The sequence below is a fragment of the Homo sapiens genome, chromosome 16, assembly GCF_000001405.40.
Source record: "Homo sapiens chromosome 16, GRCh38.p14 Primary Assembly".
Lineage (NCBI taxonomy): Eukaryota > Metazoa > Chordata > Mammalia > Primates > Hominidae > Homo > Homo sapiens.
The window spans coordinates 1,155,737-1,176,944 of NC_000016.10; the positions used below are offsets into that span (position 1 = coordinate 1,155,737).

At 64.8% G+C, this 21,208-nt stretch overlaps 1 protein-coding gene and 1 long non-coding RNA gene across 15 annotated transcripts in view, besides 3 other annotated features; one reads left to right on the forward strand and one right to left on the reverse strand.

Annotated features, from left to right (window-relative positions):
* CACNA1H (calcium voltage-gated channel subunit alpha1 H) overlaps positions 1 to 21,208 on the forward strand; it is a 68,663-nt gene that overhangs the window by 2,631 nt on the left and 44,824 nt on the right. The gene's annotated exons all lie outside the window — the stretch shown is intronic.
* Positions 1,236 to 2,874, reverse strand: LOC124903622 (uncharacterized). Its single transcript, XR_007064937.1, has 2 exons — positions 1,911 to 2,874; positions 1,236 to 1,453 (listed from the first exon to the last, which is right to left on the reverse strand). It is a non-coding gene; the product is annotated as an uncharacterized LOC124903622 (long non-coding RNA).
* Positions 2,975 to 3,694: an enhancer, noted in NCBI's record as "H3K27ac-H3K4me1 hESC enhancer chr16:1208711-1209430 (GRCh37/hg19 assembly coordinates)". NCBI's record gives its function as "activates a minimal SCP1, AML or CMV promoter by ChIP-STARR-seq in primed H9 embryonic stem cells {active_cell/tissue: H9 hESC(primed)}" and the evidence as "EXISTENCE:reporter gene assay evidence [ECO:0000049][PMID:30033119]".
* Positions 7,622 to 8,178: an enhancer, noted in NCBI's record as "H3K4me1 hESC enhancer chr16:1213358-1213914 (GRCh37/hg19 assembly coordinates)". NCBI's record gives its function as "activates a minimal SCP1, AML or CMV promoter by ChIP-STARR-seq in naive H9 embryonic stem cells {active_cell/tissue: H9 hESC(naive)}" and the evidence as "EXISTENCE:reporter gene assay evidence [ECO:0000049][PMID:30033119]".
* Positions 17,051 to 17,552: an enhancer, noted in NCBI's record as "H3K4me1 hESC enhancer chr16:1222787-1223288 (GRCh37/hg19 assembly coordinates)". NCBI's record gives its function as "activates a minimal SCP1, AML or CMV promoter by ChIP-STARR-seq in naive H9 embryonic stem cells {active_cell/tissue: H9 hESC(naive)}" and the evidence as "EXISTENCE:reporter gene assay evidence [ECO:0000049][PMID:30033119]".

The window sequence follows — 21,208 nt, forward strand, 5'->3', positions numbered from 1 at the left end:
TGGGCTGGCTGTGTGTCTCAGGACTTCCAAGGAGGTTGTTTGCGTTGCTGTGTGCAGGGAAGGTGTTGGCTGGGTGGCCTCATGCAGGTGGGATGAGCTCTCCAGGGGGAGAGGAGGGCTGGGGCCAGCGGCATCACGTGACCCAAGCGCTGTCCCCCGGTGTCCTGAGGAGCTGTCCTTTTGGGCTTTGTGACCTGACAGGAGTATGCTCTGGTAGCCCGAGAGGGACTTGGGTGCTGTCCTGGTCTCGGGGGCTGGATGGTGCTCTCAGCCTGGGAAGAACAGAGCATGCCCCATCCCTGGTGTCCCCAGGGCTCTCTGGGCTGGGAGAGAATGGGTGGTCGGCCTCCTGCCCTTCGATGGCATCCCTTGCTTGGAGCACTGGGTCTGCCTGCGGCACGGCAGGACCCCCCACCCTCCTCGCCGCCAGCACCTCTGGCACGCTTTGGCTCTCCCAGCTCCAAACGCAGTGATGGGGGGTGTCCCCACTCCAGGAGACATGGGAAGCAGAGCTTAGACCCCAAGCTTGGTTCATTCTTGGCCCCGTGGAAACGCCCGTCGGTCAGGTGGAGTGGGCTTGTGGAGGCCCCGGCTGCATGGGGGTGGGTGTGACCACCAGCAGATGCCTGGCCTGTAGCGAGGGTGTGTGTCCTGGCGTCAGAGAGAACCTAAAATAAGCTGGCAGGCCTGGACAGGTGGGGGGATTGGCTGAGCCGGGGAAGCCCATGTGGGCCATGGCTGAGGCTTTCCAGAGCGCTTCAGATTCCTGGGAGTTGGGAGGGGGAGGCTTTGCAGGAGGCGGCAGGGGCGGTGGGCGACTGGTGTGGCTGGGGTGTGTCCCGTAGCAAGAGGGTGCTTCCTGGGCCTCAGCCTCCCCTCCCTCCGCAGGGCCCCGCATCCCTCCTGAAGAGGGTGAACTCTGAGAGGGAGGGATAATCGGATTTGCTCAGGGAACCCACACTCAGTAAAGTGACTCCATGCTCCCGGGGGTTGGCAGAGCCCCAGCTGCTGTCCGCCGGGCCCAGCCTGAGCCGGGGTTCAGTCAGCACAGGAACCTGGGGGAGGGCCCGCGTTTATCCCTGAACCTCTCCTGAACCCCGGGGTAGACGCTCAGCACCAGGGAGCACATGCGTGCTGGCTCCATCTCCAGGGTGACTCCATCCCAGGCAAAGGAGCCTCCAAGGACGCCCTTATCCTTATTGATTGGTTTCTTAAAAATATAATTGTCTTAGAACTTTTGGGGCGAGCGCTGCTTCTCCTCCACAGGTTTATTTATAGAGAAAGGTGGGTGGGATCTGTGTGTTGTCGCCCGGCTGGGTTATGTGCTGCCCGGACTCCCGGGGTTCCTGACTCCGCGTTCGCCTGCGACACAGCTGCCGCCGTCCCGGCACACGGACGGGGCGGGGCCCCCGGGAATGCTTGGAGGCCAGGAAGGGGGACCCTGCTTCGGTCCCTGCGAGAGCGAGGGAGGCGGGCTGTGGGTGTGTAGGGACCAGAAGGTGACCAAGGGGTGCTTGGGGGCTGGGGGTTGGCAGGACCCCCTGGGAGGCGTCTCCCGGGGCCCAGGCTCCAAACACCCCGTGTCACGGAGCTCTGAGATGGGGAAGGATATATCAAGGTCATCGGGATGCTGAAGGACAGAGCTGGGTGAGCCCATCCTGGCTCTGAGGGCCACGTGTTTGGCAGAGCGCTGCCTGGGTGGGGACGAGCTGCGGGAGCCTGAGACAGCCCTTCATGGCATCTCTGAACACTCGGCGCTGGGGCTGTCACGCTGCTCCGCGGGCGTCCCCCGGGAGTGTGAGAGGGCACCCGTCTGGAAAGGGCCAGTCCCGCCTGCGCCCGCCTCCCCGGGCTCCACGTGCCCCGCAGGCCTCTCGTGGGCAGGACGGGGCTGGTCGTCCCCTACTGACCTTGCATCGTGGGGACCCTCTTGAACACTTTGTCTTAGCAGCGTCCGGACATCCGAACTGGTCTCAGAGGGGCTGCCTCAGTGGTCGGAAGTCACAGGCCCAGGAGGGCCCAAAGCTGTCCCTTGACCCCTGGGCCTGAACTCCAAGCTGGGGGTCACTCAGCAGGGTGGGGCTTGGCAGAGTCTCCGTTACAGACTGGACGTCCCGTCCCTTCTGCCTGGGTGGACCAGGGTGTGAACTCGGCCGTTGCGCCCGACCCACGGCCCGGCTTCTCTCGGCCGTGCTAGGGCGCGTGTCTCCCGGAGACCCTGGGCTGCCCGTGCCTTGCCCGTGGCGCCCTTGCCCGTGGCACCCTTGCCCGTGGCGCCCTTGCCCGCATTCTGACGGGAAGGAGAGTTGCAGGGATGGATCCATTAGTCTCTGAAGCCACCGACTGGCATTGCAGTGTTCCTGGGACAGGTGTGGGTTCCCACTGAGCCCTACGGCCTACCCACGAGAGGGCTGGATGTGTCCCTGCCTCCTGGGCTAGTACAGGGTGGGAGAGGCTGCCTCCCCACCCCCACAGCTGATCCTGCAAGGAAGCAGAGACACAGATGGGGCTGAGACTGGGAGCGTTGCAGGGCTCAGGGGGAGGGGCCTTCCCACTCACCAAGAGCTGGGGGAGCCGTGGGGGCAGCTCATCCTTCCTGGGGCGATGGGAAGAGAGGCCCCCGGGGGTGACGACAGGGTAGGGGGTCCGCCGAGCGCCTGGGGGCAGCTCATCCTTCCCGGGGTGATGGGAAGAGAGGCCCCCGGGGATGATGGCAGGGTAGGGGTCTGCCGAGCGCCTGTCGTAGTCATTCCCTCCCCTTCATGGAAGCATCAGGGCCGCACGCCCCGTGGGACGTCATCTTGTTCCCGCCAGGAAGTGGGCGTGACGCCAGCAGGCTGAGCTCACCCTCCGGGTCGGGGCTACCCCGATGGACTCGGGACTCAGGCCCCGCTGGGGAGGAGGGAGGAGATGGAGCCCAGAGCAGGCCGGGCCCTGGCAGGGACCGTGCGCCTCCCAGACCCGCTTCTGCGGCCGGGGCTGCCGGGCATGTGACCTTGGTGCTCTTGGGAACGAGTTTGCCGAGAGAGCTCTAGTTCCACAACCGCTCCTGCCCCGCCGCACCCCCGGCCCCGCAGGGCGCCACTCAGCCCGCACCCCCGGCCCCACAGGGCCCCGCTCAGCCCGCACCCCTGGCCCCGCAGGGCCCCCGCTCAGCCCGCACCCCTGGCCCCGCAGAGCCCCCCCGCTCAGCCCGCACCGCTGGGACCGGGCAGGGGTCTCGGGTTTCACCGTCCGTCTGTCGCCCGGATCCTTCATCGCTGGGATCGTCCTTGGCACTGACTGACCTCAGGGCCCCTGTTCGCCTGCCTGAGGCACTTCAGGGTGGAGGGAGTCCCTGAGCACAGCCTTCAGGCCCTGATGGGGGGACTTGGGGAGCCGTGCAGAGTGGGGAGAGCCTCTGAACGCCTTGGCAGACGTCTTCATGGCCAGTTCCCCGCAGAGTGCCCGGGTGTCCGTATCCCGGGGTAGAACGAGGCTGGCCTGAGCCCTGTGACCGAGGCATGGTCGGGGCCCCTCGGACGGTGGGGTGGGCCCGACAGGGGCAGAGTCCATGAGCCCGGTGGGCACAGGAGCCTGTGCGGGAGGAGGCGTTCGGACTGAGACCTGGATGGGGTGTGCCGAGGGAAGAACGTCCAGGCAGGGGGACAGTGCAGGCCTTGAGGTGGGGGGATGTCTGTATAGCAGATGAGAGGGAGGGTGAGGGGCAGGGTGGGCCGTGGGGAGGAGGTCTGGGCGCGTGGCGGTGGCACACCGGTGTGATGACCCAGTTCCCGAGCCTGCCCTCGGGAGCTTGAGGGCTGTGAGGAGGCAGAGTGCGGGTGGGGACAGCAGGTGGTGGGCTGGCCTGGGGGCCCAGGGCTCAGCTTGCCTCCAACTGGCGTCACAACTGCTCCTTAGGGAGGGGAGGCCTGGGGGCCGGGCTTAGCAGGAAGTCGATGAGAGAGACGGGGCTGGAAGGGCAGGTGAGGGCCGCACAGGGACAGAGGCTGGGAGTGGGGAGCACTGGTGTCCCACACACTCAGGCCCAGAGGGCGTGGCTGCTGCCAGCCCCTGAAGGAAGCTCTTGGACTCGTGGGCAACACGCTCCAAGCACCCGAACTTCATTCTTGCCGGGGCCAGCTGCGGGCACCCTCCCTGGCCTGGTGGAACGCTCAGGGGTGGTTCTGCATACTCCCCTCACCTCCCCCAAGGGCTGAGAGCCGAGGGCGATGCGGCCCCACCAGGCCGGGCTCCTGGAGCTGCAGAAGAGACGTCCCGTTCCGGGGTCAGGACAGGAGGAATGCGGGGGAGGGGCCAGCCTGTCAAACACTCCGGGGATGGATCCACAGCAGCTCTGCTGGCTGAGTCCAAGCCACGGTCGCACAGTCAAGGTCAGGCGAGGAACGCGTTACCTTTGTTTATGCAGATGTCGGCCAGGCCGTCCGTCCAGCCGCCTGTGCCGAGCCCGCTGTGGGAAGGGCGGGGACTGTCCCTGCCTGTCCTCGTCAGTGGGCATTCCCCTCCCTGGCACGGAAGAGGAGTCTCTCCTCAGTGGCTCATGTTGGCGTAACTTGGAACAACTCTAAGTCACGCGGGCCCAGGTTGAATTTCCAGGGTGGAGATTAAGGAGCGACCACTCACCCTGGGCAGATACAAGGGGTGAAGTCAGCCGGTCGCGCCCTGAGCAGTGATGGACGGCCGCCTCGGTCAGAGATGGTGGGGGCGGGGCTCGGGGAAGGAGCTCTGCTGGCTCTCAGCCCCTGCCCGGCTCAGGAGAGCTGGCAGCAGGTCTGGGCACCGTCCCCAGAGCACTGTGCCCGCCGAGGATGACAGATGGGGACGGAGTAGCAGCTTGCCGTGGTGCAGGGGGTGTGCCGCCACGTGGCCGCTGGTGTCCCTGGCCTCCGTGCACACTCCTCGCGGGGCGGAGGTGGGCCCGGGCTGACGGGAGAAGCGGGCCGTTGGCGGGGCCGTGAGAGCCCCCGGGTTTGATGAGCCGGACGGTTGATGAATGTGCTCCACGAGGCCTCCTTTGTCCTCTTGCTGCCGCCCGGTCGCTTGCCGGGAGCGGGAGCTGTGGGCAGAGAGATCCTTGGGTGGGTGTGGCCGCCGCCTGCGTTTGGAGGCCCCGTGCAGCGTCAACCCGGGACGCCAGAGCACCCCATCCTCGGGTGCGCGGCCGGCGAGGACCGAGGCATCAGCCCAGTGCGGCCCCCCCCCAGCCTCGGTGCAGCCCTGGGCTCTTTGCCCAAGTTGAGAGCAGGGCTGGCAGGGAGAGGATCCGGAGGCCCCCACGCTGCCTCGGGGTGAAGAGGCTCCTCTGACCCCCAAGGTGTGTAGACCTGACACAGTTGCACCCCCAGCCCTGCTTTGATGTCTGCAGAACTGGCTCCTGCAGAAAAGGCCTTGAGCGAGACCTCAGCGTCTGCTGGCCCTGCTGGACTCGTCTGACCCTGGGCTGCTGGTGGTGTGGGTGCTTCTGCCGTTGGCGACTGATGGGAGCGAAGCTGTTCCTTTGTGGATGGACCGTTAGGTGACACGGGATGTTGGCATTAATGAACGCTGTCAACTGAGCCGGTGGCAGAGGTGGGGGCAAGCCCTCGCCTCTGTTGACCGCCAGGCCGCCCTGTGTTCTCACCCCTTCTCCCCTCCCCAGCTGTCTGCACCTGGGCAGAGCCCCCTGGCCGGAGGTGGTTGTCTCTGGGCCCCTCACTGGCCTGAGGACTGAGGTGGGGATACCTTGAGGCCTTTTTTTGGGCAAGGTGGTCTTTAGTAGCCCCAGATGTTAAAGACTCAGCCTCAACTGGGTGGAGCCTCCTGGGATTCTGGGGTCTCCATGGCCACAGGAGGGGGGCTAGCGACCCCTGCCAGCCTGGGCAGTGCCTCCACGTGGGCCTCAGTTTCCCTGTCACACCACTTTGGTCTGTCATCTCGGTCACTGATGGAGTGAGGCTCCCAGCAGGCGGGTGAGAGAAGGGGCCAGATGCGGTCCCGGGAGATAGGCTGTCAGCCCCGTCCAGTCGGTGGGTGGCCAGTGCGGCGGCTGATGGGGGACAGACCGCTGGCCAGGCCCCACGCCAGCCCTGTCCCCATCTGTGAGCAGCACCCGGACCTCCTGGGTCCCCTTGCCGCAGCCTGCCTGTGGGGTGGGTCCGTGGGGTGGGCCTGGTCGGACGCGTTAATGGAGCTGCAGGCAAGGCTCGGGGCAGATCTTTCTAGAAGGCAGCAGAGCCATCACGGTGGGTCAGGCTGTGTCCCGTGAAGTCTGAAGTGGACTGGCAGAGGTGGGCACTGAGGTCCCTGCTCCGGACCCTGTCGGGGTCGTGTCACCTCCTGGGCGTTGGTTTTCTCATCTGTGAAATGGGCCTGCTGCCCTCCTGGCCTCTGGGTGTGTGGCGGGGACTCCTCGTCCCCACTCAGTCCCATGGGTGATGCAGGACATGGGATCCTGTCAGCCCCATGACCCCTCGCCCTGGGCCTCTGGCCTCCAGAGCCCCAAGAGGCCATTGCTGTCTGAGGCCCCTACCTGTGGCACTCTGTTACAGCTGCCTCCTGCCAGGGTGCCCCCACCTGCCCTCACAGCTGCGAGCAGGGGTGCAGGTGCCTGGGGGAGGCCCCCAGCACCTGCTTGGCCCTTTCCCCACCTCACCTGTGGGCCCCCCCGGAGGGAGAAAAATGGCCCATGAGCAGGAGGTGCTTGACGCAGTAACAGGAGTCAGCCCCTTTCAGGATGAATCGCGATTGGTCGCCCACTGTTGTCAGGCTCCTCCGATGAGGAGCAGCCCCCAGAGAGAGAGGACGCTTAGCCGTGAAGTGGGTCATTCGGAGCCTCGGTTGGCACGGGGGCTGGTGCTGCAGTTGTGTCTCTGTGCCCTGGTTAGAAGCTGCCCCGCACGGCCAGCTCCTGCGGACACCTGGAGTGGGGGGGGGGGGTCCATCCTAGGAGGAGCCGAGCGTCTTGGGACCCTGTGAAGGGGTCTGGGGGCCGCACTTGGCTCTGGTGAGCAGGGAACAAGATGGATGAGACCCGGGCCCCACTGACGCTGGGAGGACAGTGTCCAAGCTGGGGGACCATCCGCCAGGGCTGTGGCGTGAAGGCCGAGGGAGTATGAGCAGGGGGTGGGATAGTCCCAGGTGGCTGGAAACAGCTGTGGTCAGGTGGGCGAGCAGAGGTCAGTGGCCCCAGGTCCCTGGAACGCCTCTTCTCACGGCCACTCCACGGGTGCCTGGCCCTGCGGCCACGCGGAGCTATCCTTGGCTCCAGCCTCAAAGGCTGTGGGGGCACAGTGGCCGGTGCTCTGCCTGCCTGGACCTTGGGCTCGTCTGACTCTGTGTTTGCTGTGTGTCCCTCACTCGTCACCCAGCCTCTCTGTTCTGGGCAGGTGAGGCAGCCTGCAGAAAGGTGTAGGTGTGGGCCAGTCTGCCCTGGGGAGCCGATCCTGGGTCCGGAGAGGCGACAGCCACCTCCCCCAGCTCGGCCATGGACCTTGAGGCTTGAGACTGTGCCCTGGTGCCCGTCTGCAGGGCAGTGGGGGTGGCCTCGGCCCAGCAGGGCCAGGTGGGTGTCGGGCGTTGAGTGGGGCCCAGTTGGAGCAGGGCCTGGGAGGCCGGCGCCGGGGTACGGTGTGGAGCTACGAGTCTCCCCATGGCACCTCGTGCTCCCGGGAGGGGGTGCTGGTCTGGCCTGGGAGTGTCCAGTGAGCTGCCGGCCTGTGCCCAGCCCCCTCTGAAGCCGCAGCCACACACAGCCCGGCCTGCCTCAGAGGGGAAACCCGTGTCCAGATGGCCAGAGAGCAGCCACGACCTGCCGGGAAGGTGTGGAGGGGCGAGGGTCTCTCTCAGGGCCACACACACGGTCCCTGCCCTGGTCTTTGCGGGCAGCCGCCAGCCCTGGCTGTGGTCTGATGAGTCAGCCTGCATTAGCGCCTCATTGAAATGGATGGGAACTTGTCCCGGGCTGCTGGGGGAAGCTGGCCGCTGTGTCTGAGGATGGCTTAGGGTACTGCCTTGGCTGGTAGCTGGGACCACGCTTGCCCAAGCCCACTGGGCCACGGGCTCTTGTGCCAGTGCTGACCTCACACTTGGGTGCCAGGGTGAGAGGCCCCGGGATGCCACCTCCTCTCCCTGGGAAGCCTGGTCGTTGTGATGAGAAGCTGGGCTATGTGGCGGCCACCTCGAAGGCCAGGTCTGGGGACCCTCCCGCTTGTGACTCAGCGGCTCAGCTTCTTGGTTAGTGAAGAGGGGAGAGGCCGTGTCTGGCTCAGCCGCCCCTGCCCCAGCCGAGGAGCAGCCGATGGGTGCGGCCTGTTGGTGCTGCTGGGGTGTGAGACTGCCTGGCCGCCGGCCGGGTATGGAGGCCGGCACAGGTGTGGGGGCACTTTTGCCTCTCCCAGAAGCCACAGAAGCAAGGGCCCTGGGCCTGAGTCCCTGACACAGAAAACCCAGGATGCCCGTTCAGTTATGTTTGGATTTCAGTTAAGTAAGAATGTCTTAGGGTGAGGGGTGTCCATGCATGTTTGAGACGGGCGGCAGTGTCGTCAGTTGCAGGGGTGCAGTCCAAGGCCCCAGGAATACCCGAAGCCTCAGATCTGATGAACCCTGTCCTGTACGTACTGTTTTTTCTTTTCTTTTTTGAGACAAGGTCTCACCCTGTCGCCCAGGCTGAGTGCAGTGGTGCAGTCACCCCTCACTGCCACCTCGATCTCCTGGTTCAGGTGACCCTCCTGCCTCAGCCTCCCCAGGTGCCAGGATTACAGGTGTGAGCCACCACGCCGGGCCTCATACTCTGTTCTCTCAGCCTGATAACTGAGATGGCTGCTAAGTGGCCATCAGGTGGGCAGTGGCCTGCAGCGTGGGCACAGGGGCGATTTGGACCCCGGGCGGTGCCGAGCGTGGCTACACCAGGCTCACTGCTGCACAGAATGGGGCACAGTTAAAACCTGGGAGTGAGGCCTTTCCGTCGGAGACCCTTCGGATCTCCCTTCTGTGAGATCTTGGCCCTCAAGCCCCGCAGAGGGGCCTCCTGGGGTTCTGTCGGTGGAGCTGGGGTCTGGTGGTGCTGCCCTCACTGGCCGGGCTCCGGATATGCTGCTTGGGGTGGAGGGCGGCTGTCCACAGCCCTGGGGTCTGGAGGAGGTGTGGGTGAGCCCGTGGCCCCGTTTGGGTTTTTGGGGGTGGGTCGAGTCGCCCCTTTTGCTGGTCCCTGGCTTGGCAGATGTGTGTTTTCTCCTTGGGTGCAGCAGGTGGGGCCCCTCGGTCCAGCATGGGCTGACCTCAGGGTGATTTGTCTCCGTGGGGTTCTGGGGCGTGAAGGACACCTGTGCAGGGGTGGGAACAGTGGCGCTCACCTGACCGGGGCAAGGAGGGGGCTGATGGGGCAGGAGGAGCGGAGAAGGTGCTGGCATGTCTGGGCCCGGGAGTGGGTGGGGGTGCGGCAGGCACCAGCTGACCACCGTGGCGCGATTGCTGGGGAGACGGGGGGAAGAGCAGAGAGCACACGAGGCACAGGCCCCATTGGAGGAACATTCTAGAAGCCAGATGTAGCGTCACAGGAATGGCTTCAGCGGGCCTGGGGGCAAAGGCTCAGAATCGGCAGACCCAGACCCCAGTTGGTGTGTTTGAAAGCTGAGCCTGCTGGTCCTCCCGGGCCACGCTCTTTCGTGACAGCACAGAGTTTTTATTTTCTAACCTTCCGTGGAAATCTGGGTCACTCAAATAAGGAGGATGAGGCCTATGGTCTCAGGGAGCCGCGTGGGCCGAGCCCCCGTCCTGCGCACTCACAGCCGGGGAGCTCCAGGTGGAGAGAGAGGCGCCTGGGCCCCCCTCCCCACCTGGCCTCCGGTGCATCTGGGCATGGGAATTCAGGCAGCACAAGCCGGCCCGGAGCTGAGGCACCCTCCCTTTTCCCCGCCAGGCACAGCTGCGTCCCCCCGAGGCCATTGCCAGGTGGCTGCACGCTGGGGTCACCCCTCCTGAGGATGTAGAGGGGCTGCCTCCCTGCCCCCACCCCGGCTCACAGTGCGGGTGGCTCCCGGCTCTCCTGAGTTGTGCTGGCCACCTCACGTTCCCCACCAGATGAACCCATCAGCCCATGGTTTCCTTTCTCCCCAGGAGGTTTGGGGCTGGGAGCTGGTTCCTCTGCTCCCCTTGGGAGAGGGGTGGGTCCTCTGGCCCCTGCTTGGGTGGTGTGTGGGGCCCGGCCCGGCCGTGTGGGGCAAGAGTGGTGGGCACACCGGCCCGTGCATCTTTTAATTGTGGTGGCTCTTTCTGGGCTGAGGTCCCTTCTCGGTCCTCCTCGTCCTGTTGGCACCGTAGGGGGACACATTCCCATTTGTGACTTGGAATTGGGTGACTCTGAGAGCTGACGCCGAGATTTCTTGTTTGTGTTTTCTCACTCAGACTCAGAGGATGGTGAGGCCTGGGGAAGGGGCAGGCAGGCCTGAGAGGACAGTGGGTGTTGGGGTGAGGGTGCCTCTTGCCCCTGGGGGCAGGCAGAGTGTCCACGAGCAAATCCTTTGCGTCCGGAGTGGGGTCTTCACTGGCTGCTCCATTTGTCTGCGTGGGGAGCGGGAGACAGGAGCTCCCTGTGGCTCAGACCCTGCTCAGCTCCGTGGCTCCAGGCCAAGTAACGGTGCCCTGAATCCCGGCCCCTGCCTTCCTCTCAGCCCTGCAGAGGAGGCCGCGCAGCGTACAAGGCCCTCTGGCCAGCCCGGCACCAACTCATTCCTGTTGTTGGTCTTTTCCCAGTTTTATTGAGAGGTAATTTATCCACCACCTAACTCGCCAATGAAGGGTCCAATTCGGTCGTTCTCCCTGTATCCTCGCGGTGGTGCAGCCCCAGCAGCGATGGGTTCCAGAATGCTTTCCTCGCCCCGAGAGGAAACCCTGCAGTCAGCTGTCTCGGCGTCTCCCGCTGGCCTTTTCCGTCTCCGAGGTTGGCCTGTTCTGGACGTTCCCTGTATATGGGATCCCACGTGGTGTGGACTCCTGCACCGGCTTCTCTCGAGCTTTGTGCGGGCCGGTCGTCCATCCTCCCCGCAGAGCCCTGACCCTTCCACGGTTAGATGCGCCCTCATGTAGACGGGCTGCGGTGTTTATCTCTTCACCGCTGGTGGATGTCTGGGCCGTTTCACCCTTTGCTGCTGTTCATGGCGCTGCCGGGCCGTCCCTGCTCCAGGTTCGGGGGAAACCCTGGCTTCGTGTCTCTTGGACGTAAATCTGGGAGCAAAATTGCTGGGTCAGGCGGAAACAGTGTTGAGTCCTCGGAGGAATGGCCAGGCTGTTTTCCAAAGCGGTGCCCACCTGTTGACCCACCTCTCGCCCCCAGCTTTTGGGTCCCTGAGTGGTGGTTCAGCAGCAGTGAGTGCTGACAACCACACCCAGCCGGAGTCCAGGGCTGTGGGAGTGGACACGGCCCTTCCTTTCCTCGCCGACCCTTTGGGGCGTCTCCCATCGGGAAATGGCAGCCCCTGACCTGCCCCGTGGGGATGAAACGGGCTCTTTGCGGGGGGCCTGTGGGGTATGGGCCTCCTGTCAGCAGCCCGTCCCGGTGGGTGGGGCTTGCCGGCCGCCCGCGAATGTCAGGAACCTTGGATTCCTGACACACGGGTGCGGGGGCGATATCGGCGCGGAGCGGGCGGGGTGGCGCCCGGGCCGCGGGTGGGAGAATCTGGCGTGTGTGTTTGCACGGCATCCATCCCTCCATCCGTCCTCTGGAGAATTTCAACACCCACACTTGGAATAAAAAAAAAAATTATTAATGAGCTTGGTGCGGTTGCCATGGGAACCTGTTGCTAATGAATCTCTGGGGTTTCCTGTTACCTTTGCCAAGTCGAGGAAGGCTGGAGCCACACTCCTCACCGCGGCGGTGCCACTAATGGGGTTGCCGTGGCAACGCCTGTCACTAATCCCCAGCTGCTCCTGGTTGACCGGCCCGGCCTGTGTTACATAAAGCGGTTTGGCCCATGCAAGCCGGCTCCTGGCTAGGGACCCCGAGACCCCTCCTTTGCTTCCTGAAAGGAGCCCACCCCTCCTTCAGGGACACACCCAGACACGGGAAACGGGACACCTGGAGCTGTGGCGCTGGTGTGTGCTTAGAAAGTGCACCTGCGAGGTTGGGGCGTGGCCTGGCCGTCCGTCCGCGGGGCCCGGGCTGCCCATGGCAGCAGGTGCTCAGTAAGCACTCGCCCCACCAGTGCGTGGAGCACGTGGGGCCTCAGGAGCCAGGCCTGTTCCCCGGGGCTGCCTGGAGGCGGCCGCTTGTCCCCAAGGCCTGGTGACCGCACCTCTGTCTGCCCTAGGCCTTCGAGTTGGGGGACATTTTGTAAGGAGCCGCTGTGCCTAGGCCAGAGATGTTTTCGGAAGGGGTGCCTGTACCCCGAGAGGTGGACCAGAATTCCCCTGGGGCACGGTGGCGGGAGACCAGGGCGGCCTCTGGTGCCCCCGCCCCCTCCAGTTGGGGCGGTTGATGTGGGATCCCCCCCCCCAAGTGACAGTTTCTGCCCAGCTCACCCCGATGAGCCCACCATGTCCAGTCTGTTTGGACGCTGGCCATCCAGCAACCCCCATCTCCTCCCTCCTAGGGCCTGAGGCCTGCAGTTCCCAAAGCAGGAAGGTCTGAAGCTGGTAGAGTCCATGCAGTCCGACCACCCACCCCGGGGCGTGGTTCTAGGATGGGGCCAACGATGTGGGGAGGCTCCTGGGCAGGCGGGGAGGCTGCTGGACTTGTGATTGTGGCTCCTGCTTGGGCTGCTCTGGGGGACCCTCCAGCTTCCCTGCCGGGTGCCCAGGTCACCCCAGAGCTGGGGAGATGCACCCTGGAGGCAGGGAGGGCTCCCTGGAGGTGGTGACAGGTGGGGTCGTGGTGGGGAGGTTGATGATCCAGTGTGTCTGGTGGTCCTCAGTGTCCCCCGAGCCCCTCATGCATCGTGCTCGGCCGAGTTGGCCCTGTGTCAGGAGCCTGCTGGGCCCCACTCATTGCCCTCCAGACCCTTCCAGAGTCCCAGGGCACCATGCCCCACTCTGGGTGCCTTGTCCTAGGGGGATCATGGCGCCCCCCAGCCTTGCCCTCCAGGCCTCTCCTGGAGCCTGAGGCCCGAGGAGGGGTGAGGCTGTCTGCATCGGGTACTCCCTCCTCCTCAGCCCGCTCCCCACTTTAGGGGCCGCAGGGGGTGCCCCGCTCTGAAGTACCCTGGCCTGTGAGCCTCTAGGAGGTGGGCTGGGGCCGCCCCCTGCCCGCCTGGGGTGAGTCTGCCCACAGTGGAGTCTTAGGGTGATGCCAGGGCGTTCTCTGCCAGGGTTACGAGTGCGTGGGCTCGGGTGCTCCATAAGCATGCAGCCTTGGCAACAGGAGATGGAGGGAGGAAAGGTTCTGGACTGTTCCAGATACCAGAACGCTGGGTGTGCATCCCAGAGCCTGCCTGGCAGCGGCCAGTCTTCCTGCGGCGGGGTGGGGGTGGGGGTGGGGGTGGGGCTTGCTGGGGGTCTTAGCCTGGAACGTGGACGTGGACGTGGACGGGCTTCCTTTGCCGCTATGTTCACTGTGGGCGGCACCGTCGCTGGTGGCCGAATCTGCCCCAAACAGCACTTGGTGAAGGGCTGGCATCAGATGATGCATGGGCTGGCAGAACCCCCGACCTGCCCTCCCACCCTCTGACACAGGTGTCGTGGACTGGGCTGGTGGGTTGGGCCCCGAGAGGGTGGCAGGGGCATTCGCCTTGGTCCTCGCCAGCATGCCCGCGGCCCCCGCGACGTTCCCCCAAGAAGCAGCAGCAGGGCTTGGCGGGCACAGCGCGTGTCTCGGGTTCCCCGTGGGCAGCGACCCCAAGCTCCAGCCTCTCCCACCGAGAGACACTTCAGAGCTGTGCGGGCCGTGCTTTCGCCTCCGCCCATCAGCCGGCTCCCGGGCTCCCGGTGCTTCCCTCGGAGATCAGGGAGGCCCCAGCCCACTTGTCTGGGTCGGCCACAGGCCGCTGGGGGCAGCTGACACCACTGTGGCTGTGGGAGCTTCAGGCCAGCCGGCTGGTGCTTGTTCCCAGGAACGTTTGTCCGTCTGCCTCCCAGGCCTGGTCCCTGGCCCCTGGCCCCAGGGTGAGCAGGGCCCATCTAGAGCCCAGGACCGGCTTCCCCGTGAGGCCGGACATGGGCGTGTGCGACCGCCCAGCACTGCAGTCACGCTGGGAAGCTCGGGTTTGGAGCTGGGCGGCTGGGGTGTTTTTCTGAGCGTTTGAAATATGGCCTGCCCACGGGTCGGGATCAAGGATGTTTTAATTCCTAATTTAGACTGTTTATGTGCAGGGCTCAAGTCCCGGTGGGAAGAGACAGTGTGGGCTGAGCCCCCCTCCCCCGCTCGCCTCTCCAGGGCGGCCTCCCGGCTTACAGCGAGCTCCCAGCAGCTGGGGGGTGCAGGGTCTGCCTGCAGGTGTGCCAGGGGAGGGGCCTGACCTCTGCACCCTGACCCCAGCCCACCCGGGTGTGTCCCAACTGCAGGGTTACCGAGGCTCAGCCCACCCTGTTCCCACTCAGTGCAGAGCCTTCTTTGTGAGGGGCGGGCCCCTCCCCACGCCTTCGGGCCTTTCCCTGGGTTGGGGAGCTGAGGTCGCACCATGGCTATGGGGCAGCAGGGCTCCCTGGGACGGAGCCAGCGGGACAGGGCCCGAGGAATCCGGGGTAACACTGGGCAGAAGCAGCTGTCAGCATGGTTTCCCGTAAAAGAGACTGGGAGAGAGACAGAGGCAGGGGAGGGGAGCGGGTGGACGGGAGGAGATGGACCGTGAACAGTGAAAGACGTACCCCGACACCGGCCTGCGGACCCCCACAAGCCCAGTGGCCGTCAGCCTTGGGATTTTGGGGTTTTCCAACTTTAATCAGGGAATGTCTGTCTCCCCTGCATGAGTGATCTGTGGAGCCTGGTCGGCATCCTGATTGTCATGCCGACCGAGTTTGTGGGGCCCTCCTCGTGCCCCCACGATCTGGACAGGGATTTCGGGGTGAGGGAAGCTGGGCTGGGTTGGGCCCCCCCACCGCCGTGTGCAGGAGGAAGAGGCCAGGAGACCAGGGCATGATGGGGCAGCTCCCCACTGCACCCCTTCTTTCCTGTGGGCTGTGCAGGTTTTCTTTTTGTTTTGGGTGCTGGCCCCGGTCCTGTGGGTCAGGGTTCAAGGCGCCAACCCCGCATTGTCTGCTTGGCTCAGTGGTTCCCGTGTGGAGGGTTGGGGTGCCTGGTCTGGGGGCCTTCTGCTCCCCAGGGGGACAGGTACAGCCAGGTGTCAGGACAGGGCAGATCCTCTCTCTAGCTCTCCCCCCAACCACTGCACCCATAGCCCGTCCCTCCCTCTTCCTGCACACCCTTGGCTCCCTGTCCCACTCCACGGCCAGGCCTTTGTCCCTGCTGAGCCCCTCCCCTCCCCTAGTGCCTTCCCACCCGCACCCCTGGGGTGCTCTCTGGGGAGCCCTGGAAGTCCCTGCCCTGCCCAGCTGTCTGCTCACCCCCGCGCCGCCCAGGATCACCTCCTCGTGGGGAGGTCTCTCGGGCAGCCTGCTCTGTGGGGCCCTCCTGGGCGGGCTGGGCGTCTGGGGGGATCGTGGGGCTTTGGGGCTGTCAGCAGCCCAGGGGGGTAAGAGGACGAGGCCCAGATGGGCCAGTGGCCCTGGGGACAGGCTTTCCTTAGAAAGTCACTGGGTTCCCGGGCAGAGAACCCCCGCAGCCCACTTTTTGGCCCTGGGCTCTGACCACAGAGTCTGCAGAGCCTGGAGCCCGGAGGAGGCCCGCGGGAAGCTTCTGGAAACAAAGGTCGAATGGAGATGGGGGTCAGGGTGGGTTTTATTTTCCAGGCATTAAACTCCCTTGGCTGCCGCAGAAAACCAGAGGCGCCTCAGGCGGCTTTTGTCCCTCGGAGCTGTGGGGTTCCCTCATTTCCAGTTTGCCAAGGCCGCCTGGGGGCTGCCTCCGTCCTTCCCGCCTCCTGGGCCGTGCCTCGGCCCACAGAGACCACCACCCTCCCTCCCTCCTGGAGTCCCTGGAGCTCTGGGCAGCCTCCCACCGTCCACAACTTTGCCACCCTCTCAGGCTGGGCAGACACTACCCCCAACTCGGCTCCGTCTCCGAGCGCCAGCTGGGTCTGAGGCGTCTGTTCTGGGCTCTTCTCGCCCACAGACGAGAGGGTCAGGGCAGAGCCCAAGGCCAGGGAGCAGTGTCCACGGGTGGGGGCATGTTCACAGGCCAGGCGGGCGCCAGGACGGACGCTGGGGTCCAAGTGCGGCATGGGGTTCGCGTGGGCCCCCCGCCAGGTGCTGTGGAGTCCGAGTGGGTCGGCTCAAGGTCCTGGGGTCCCCAGCAGCCTTCACTGAACTCTGAAGCCAGCCTGCAGGTGTCAGACGTCACCGGGATGATGCTGGGGTGGACGGGGCCCCGGGCCGCAGGGCGTGGGCCGCACACGGTGGGTGTCAGGGGCGAGAGTGGCTGCGTGCCTCGATCCGGCTGGCCCAGGGCGAGTCTGCCTTTCCTGCCTGACCCCGCCCCTGGAGCTTGGCAGGGAGTTGGGGCTGGGGCTCCCCCCACAGTGCATCACCGCAGCCTTGCCTGTTGAGTAGAAAGGAGCTCGGGGAGCCAGGCCGTGCCATCCCCAATGTTCCAGGCTCTACCTGGGCCCCTCTCACGCCGTCCCTAGGCTGCCCCCAGGCGTCCTCCCCTCTTAGACGGTGGCAGCGCGGCTGCCCTCACCCTGCCCTGGGCCTGGCCCGCCTCCGTCTGGGGTGGTCGTGGGGTCCCCAGCAGGACACGTAAGTACCTGTGTGTTGTCCCGAGCATCACCCGCTCTGTGGAGGGAACCCCGAGGCGTGGGAGCAGTGGGTAGTCTGCACTCCACACCGCTGGATCCTAGCAGGAGCTCCCGGCTTCTGTAATTAAACGATTTATTATTAAAGCAGCCGCTTTCCCATAACCGGCTTCCTGTAGCCACAGGGGCAGAGCCACCCGCATGGGTGTGGGGCAGGGAGGTGCATGGGGTGAGCTGGGGCACCCTTCTCCCCGGGGCACCCAGGGGCGGAGTGGGCTGCTGCTGCCTGGGTGCCCCCGAGGGCTCCTGTCCAGGCCCAGGGCTGTGGGCTGGGAGGACTCACGGCTTTGCTCCTCCGAGGCGGGGCAGGGGCTGTGATCAGGGCCAGGACAGCCCCGTGGGGACTCTCGCAGTCACTGGCCCTAAGCCTTGTTGGTCCTCGGCAGCTGGCCCCAGGGACACCAGGTCCCTGCAGGTGGGTGCTGCCTGGGAGGGAGGGGAGGGGTGGGGCCAGAGTCCCAGGGCCGCAGACCTGCCCTGGGTGTGGCGTGGAGAGCCCTCTGTGTGGCCATGGGCCTGGGGAGCTGGGAAGCCCAAGTGTCCTTGTGGATATTGGGGTGTCGAGGTGTGGGGCAAGTTGGAGGTCCTAGCGTGTTTAAGCAGCTGACGGGCGCGAGGTGGAGGTGTCCAAAAGGCCGAGGCTGGAAGGGGGCAGTAGATGGGGTGCTGGTGGCCAGGCAGGGAGGAAAGGGGTGCGGAGCTTTGCAGGGGTTTGGGTGGGTGGCATCGGGAGGCCCAGCAGGCAAAAGGTGGCCAGAGCCCTGGGGTAGTGGGATGCCCTTCCGGAGTGTGGGATGAGGCGTGCTCCCCCACAACCTCCAGAACAGCGGCTGCGCCTCCAGGCCTCGGGCCCCTTCACGCTGGTGCGGACGGACGAAGCCCAAAGCCTCTGCTCCTGGGTTCTCTCTCTCGCTATTTACTTTTTTAGTATTTAACATGAAAAATTTTAAAAAATTGTTTACTAACTTAACCACAATAATAAGCCCTTTGTGTGTTAACATAACACGTCCTTTTATGGAAAAGGTTATATTTCTCAAAACGTTAAAAACTCAGTGAGAAGAGGGGCTGTGTTTTGCAGTTTTGCAAGACCCTCTGCCTGGCCTGGTGGAAGCATCCGGGAACGCCCGTCGGAGGGGTGAGGGAAGGAGGGTGGGGCTCCCCGGCCGCCGTGCTGAGAACCACTGGTCTAAACCAGCAGGCTCACCCCGGGAGAATTCCCCTACTCCTGAAAGGCTGTGGGTGTTGACCTGTGCACACAGTGGGGCCTCACACCACATGGGAGTTGTGGACATTAACCTGTGCACACAGTGGGACCTCACGTCACGTGGGGCTGTGGACATTTACCTGTGCACACAGTGGGGCCTCACACCACATGGGAGTTGTGGACATTAACCTGTGCACACAGTGGGACCTCACGTCACGTGGGGCTGTGGGCATTGACCTGCGTGCACAGTAGGGCCTCACATCATGCGGGCCTGTGGAAGTTGACCTGTGCATACAGTGGGCCTCCTGATACGGGGAGCTGTCACCTAGCTGGCCTCACAGTCCATGCAGCTCTGAGACCCACCACAGAGCCGTGGCCCCTCAGATGAGGGGACTGAAGCAGAGAGTCTCCAAGGAAGGGCAGAGGTCCTGGCGGCCTCAGTTTGCTCCTCCCTCTCATGGCACCCGGCTGAAGTCTCCTGTGGGGCTCCTGGGTTCAAGGCCACCCCATGGCCACGGGCCAGCTGCCTTTCTCTCATTTCTCCTGGAGCGCACCCTTGGTGGGAGCTAGACCCCAGAGCCCAGGATATGGAGGTAACTAATGTTTCACAGCAGCCAAGCATGAATTTAGCCCATTGCTGCCAGGATGGGGGGCTCCATCTCGGGGTGCTGGCATGAGGCTTTCAACAGCTGCGGTCAGCACAGCCCACCTGGCCCAGCCTGGACTCTGCAGGGTGGCAGCTGGGGTGTGGCCATGGGGAGGGAGGGAGGGAAGGAAGGATGGGGTCACTGTAGCTCTCGAAGGGAAGCCCCTGCCACGCTCAGGGCTGTCTGGGCCCCTCCCCAAGCAGGGGCAGAGGTACCTTCCAGAACACAGCAGAACAGCGTGTGTCCAGCCCCCAGCTGGGAGAGGAGAGGCGCCCAATGTTAGTTTAAAAAAAAATGACTCAGACAGTTCACAGAGCCTTCCTTTTCCTGCTGGCTTCCAAGAATTCCGATCTGACTTAATGGATCGAGTCGTTGGTGGATCGATTCAGACATGGACGAGAGCCAGGATGGCCGAGTTGGCGTGGCCCTGGCCTCGAGGCTCCCCGGGGCCCAGGTCTGCAGCCAGCTGGCGGTGGGCAGGCAGGGGGCCGGCGGGAGGCCCCCACCCGCACCTTCACCCCCAACCCCCACGTCCACCCCCCCACCCCCCACCTCCACCCCCACCAGCCGGGCCTGGCCATGGCTCCGTGGTGGGTCTCAGGGCTGCATGGACTGTGAGGCCAGCTAGGTGGTGGCTCCGTGTATCAGGAGTCCTACTCTACGCACAGGTCAACTTCCACAGGCCCGCGTGATGTGAGGCCCCACTGCGCGCGCAGGCCAACGCCCACTGCCCCACGTAATGCCCTACTGTGCGCGCGGGCCAACGCCCACTGCCCCACGTGACGTGAGGCCCTACTGTGCGCACAGGTTAATGTCCACAGCCCTTATGTGGTGTGAGGCTCTACTGTGTGTGTAGGTGTGCCTACCAAGGGAAGCCCTCCTGCATGTGGGGTCCCCTGCTGGGTTCTGGGGAGCCCCGGGAGGGCCACTCACCTTCCCCGCAGGTCCCTTTGGTAGTTTTGCATTATACAGGCTGGTTGTGGGGCAGGGCTTTGAGGGGGTTGACAGGAGACAGGGTCTGGGGCCCTCAGGACTCCCCACTGCTGTGTCGTCGCTCCTGCTGGGCCCTGGCCTGGGCTGGATGCACCCCTGCCCCTCCACCCTGTAGCCTCCAGCTCCTAAGCACCACCCACTCTAGGTCCCCGTCTGCTCGCCGTGTCCCGAGCTTGTCCTTCACTGTTGCCGTGCCCACTGCTGACAGCTGGCCCCGTCCATTTACTCTCATGTCCGAGAATCTGAAGCGGTCCCTGACACACACTAGTTACTCCGCAGATGCCGGAGGGAGGAGGAGGAGACCAGATCTCCTTCCTAGAGGAAGATCCTGGGAGTGGGTTTTGAGGGCTGCGTAGGAGTGTTCCCAGGCTGGGCAGGTAGGTGGGCAGTGGGCGTTGCAGGCCGCGGGCGAGTTGGGCTGGGCTTGGGATGGTGCGTTGAGGGGCGTGTGCCAGTGGCCCCTGCCCGTCTCGGGCAGACCTTGGGCTGCCATTCCTCCTGCCCGGACCCCCAGTGCAGGCTCTGCAACAGCCTGGAGTTTGACCCCAGTTCCTCCGTCTGGACCTGGCCTGGGGGCTGCCATGCTCCCAGGACATCCTGGTGGCTGCTGGGTCCCAACCCCGTTCGTGGAGGCGCCTCCCACTCCCATCGCCCAGTCACAGGACACACCGTGTCTAGCGGGCTCTGATCTTTACACCTCATCGCAGATTGGCTTGCATAATGGCTCAGCTGGGTTCTAGACTTTGGGAATTTCAGCCTAACCCATTAAACATAAACGCTGTGTGGTTACAGATGCTGTGTGGTTAGAGATGTTTGTGCTGGAGCTGCCCTGACTGTCGGTTCTGAGCTTGGAGCTCTAATTAGTGCCCGACGGGGCATCTCACCCACCACGGGAGGGCAGGGGCGAGGCGCAGCAGCAATGTCTCGGAGCTCCCCTGCCCATCCTTGGGTCCAGCTGTGAGGACAGCCAGGCATGGGTCTGGGAGGGCTGTCCCCGCAGAGTGGGGTCGGCCGCTCCTACTCTCGGCAGCACCAGGGTCTCTGCATGGACCCCAGCTGCCGTCTCTTTCTGCAGGTGGGCATGGCAATGACCTGTGGCTCGGGCTGAGGAGGCCTGGGGCCAGTACTTCCCCCCATGCTCAGAGGTGACGGGCCTGGGCTGCTGTGGGGATTCCGAGAATGGAATCTGGGTCTCAGGTGACCCCCCAACCAAGGGGTTCCGGGTTTGTCTGCACAGGCCCCGGGACCAGCCACTGTAGCAGTGAGCAGGGGGCTGATGGGGGTCCGGGGGCCGGCTGGGCACCAAGTCTCTGTGACCCACAGGGGATGCTCATGAAGCTCAGTTTATCAGCCCAGAAAATGATGGTGCTGGGAGGGGAGCGGGGCCGCCCCGCCGGGGAGCTGCCTCTGTCCTGCCTCCCCTCGGCCCTTCCCCCGCGTCTCTTCACCCCAGGGGACGGGGAGGGGGTCCTAAGGATGATGTGGCTTTCTGAGGGCTGAGTGTCTGCTACGGCTGCTGTGAGGATGTTCCGTGGACAGGGTGGCCT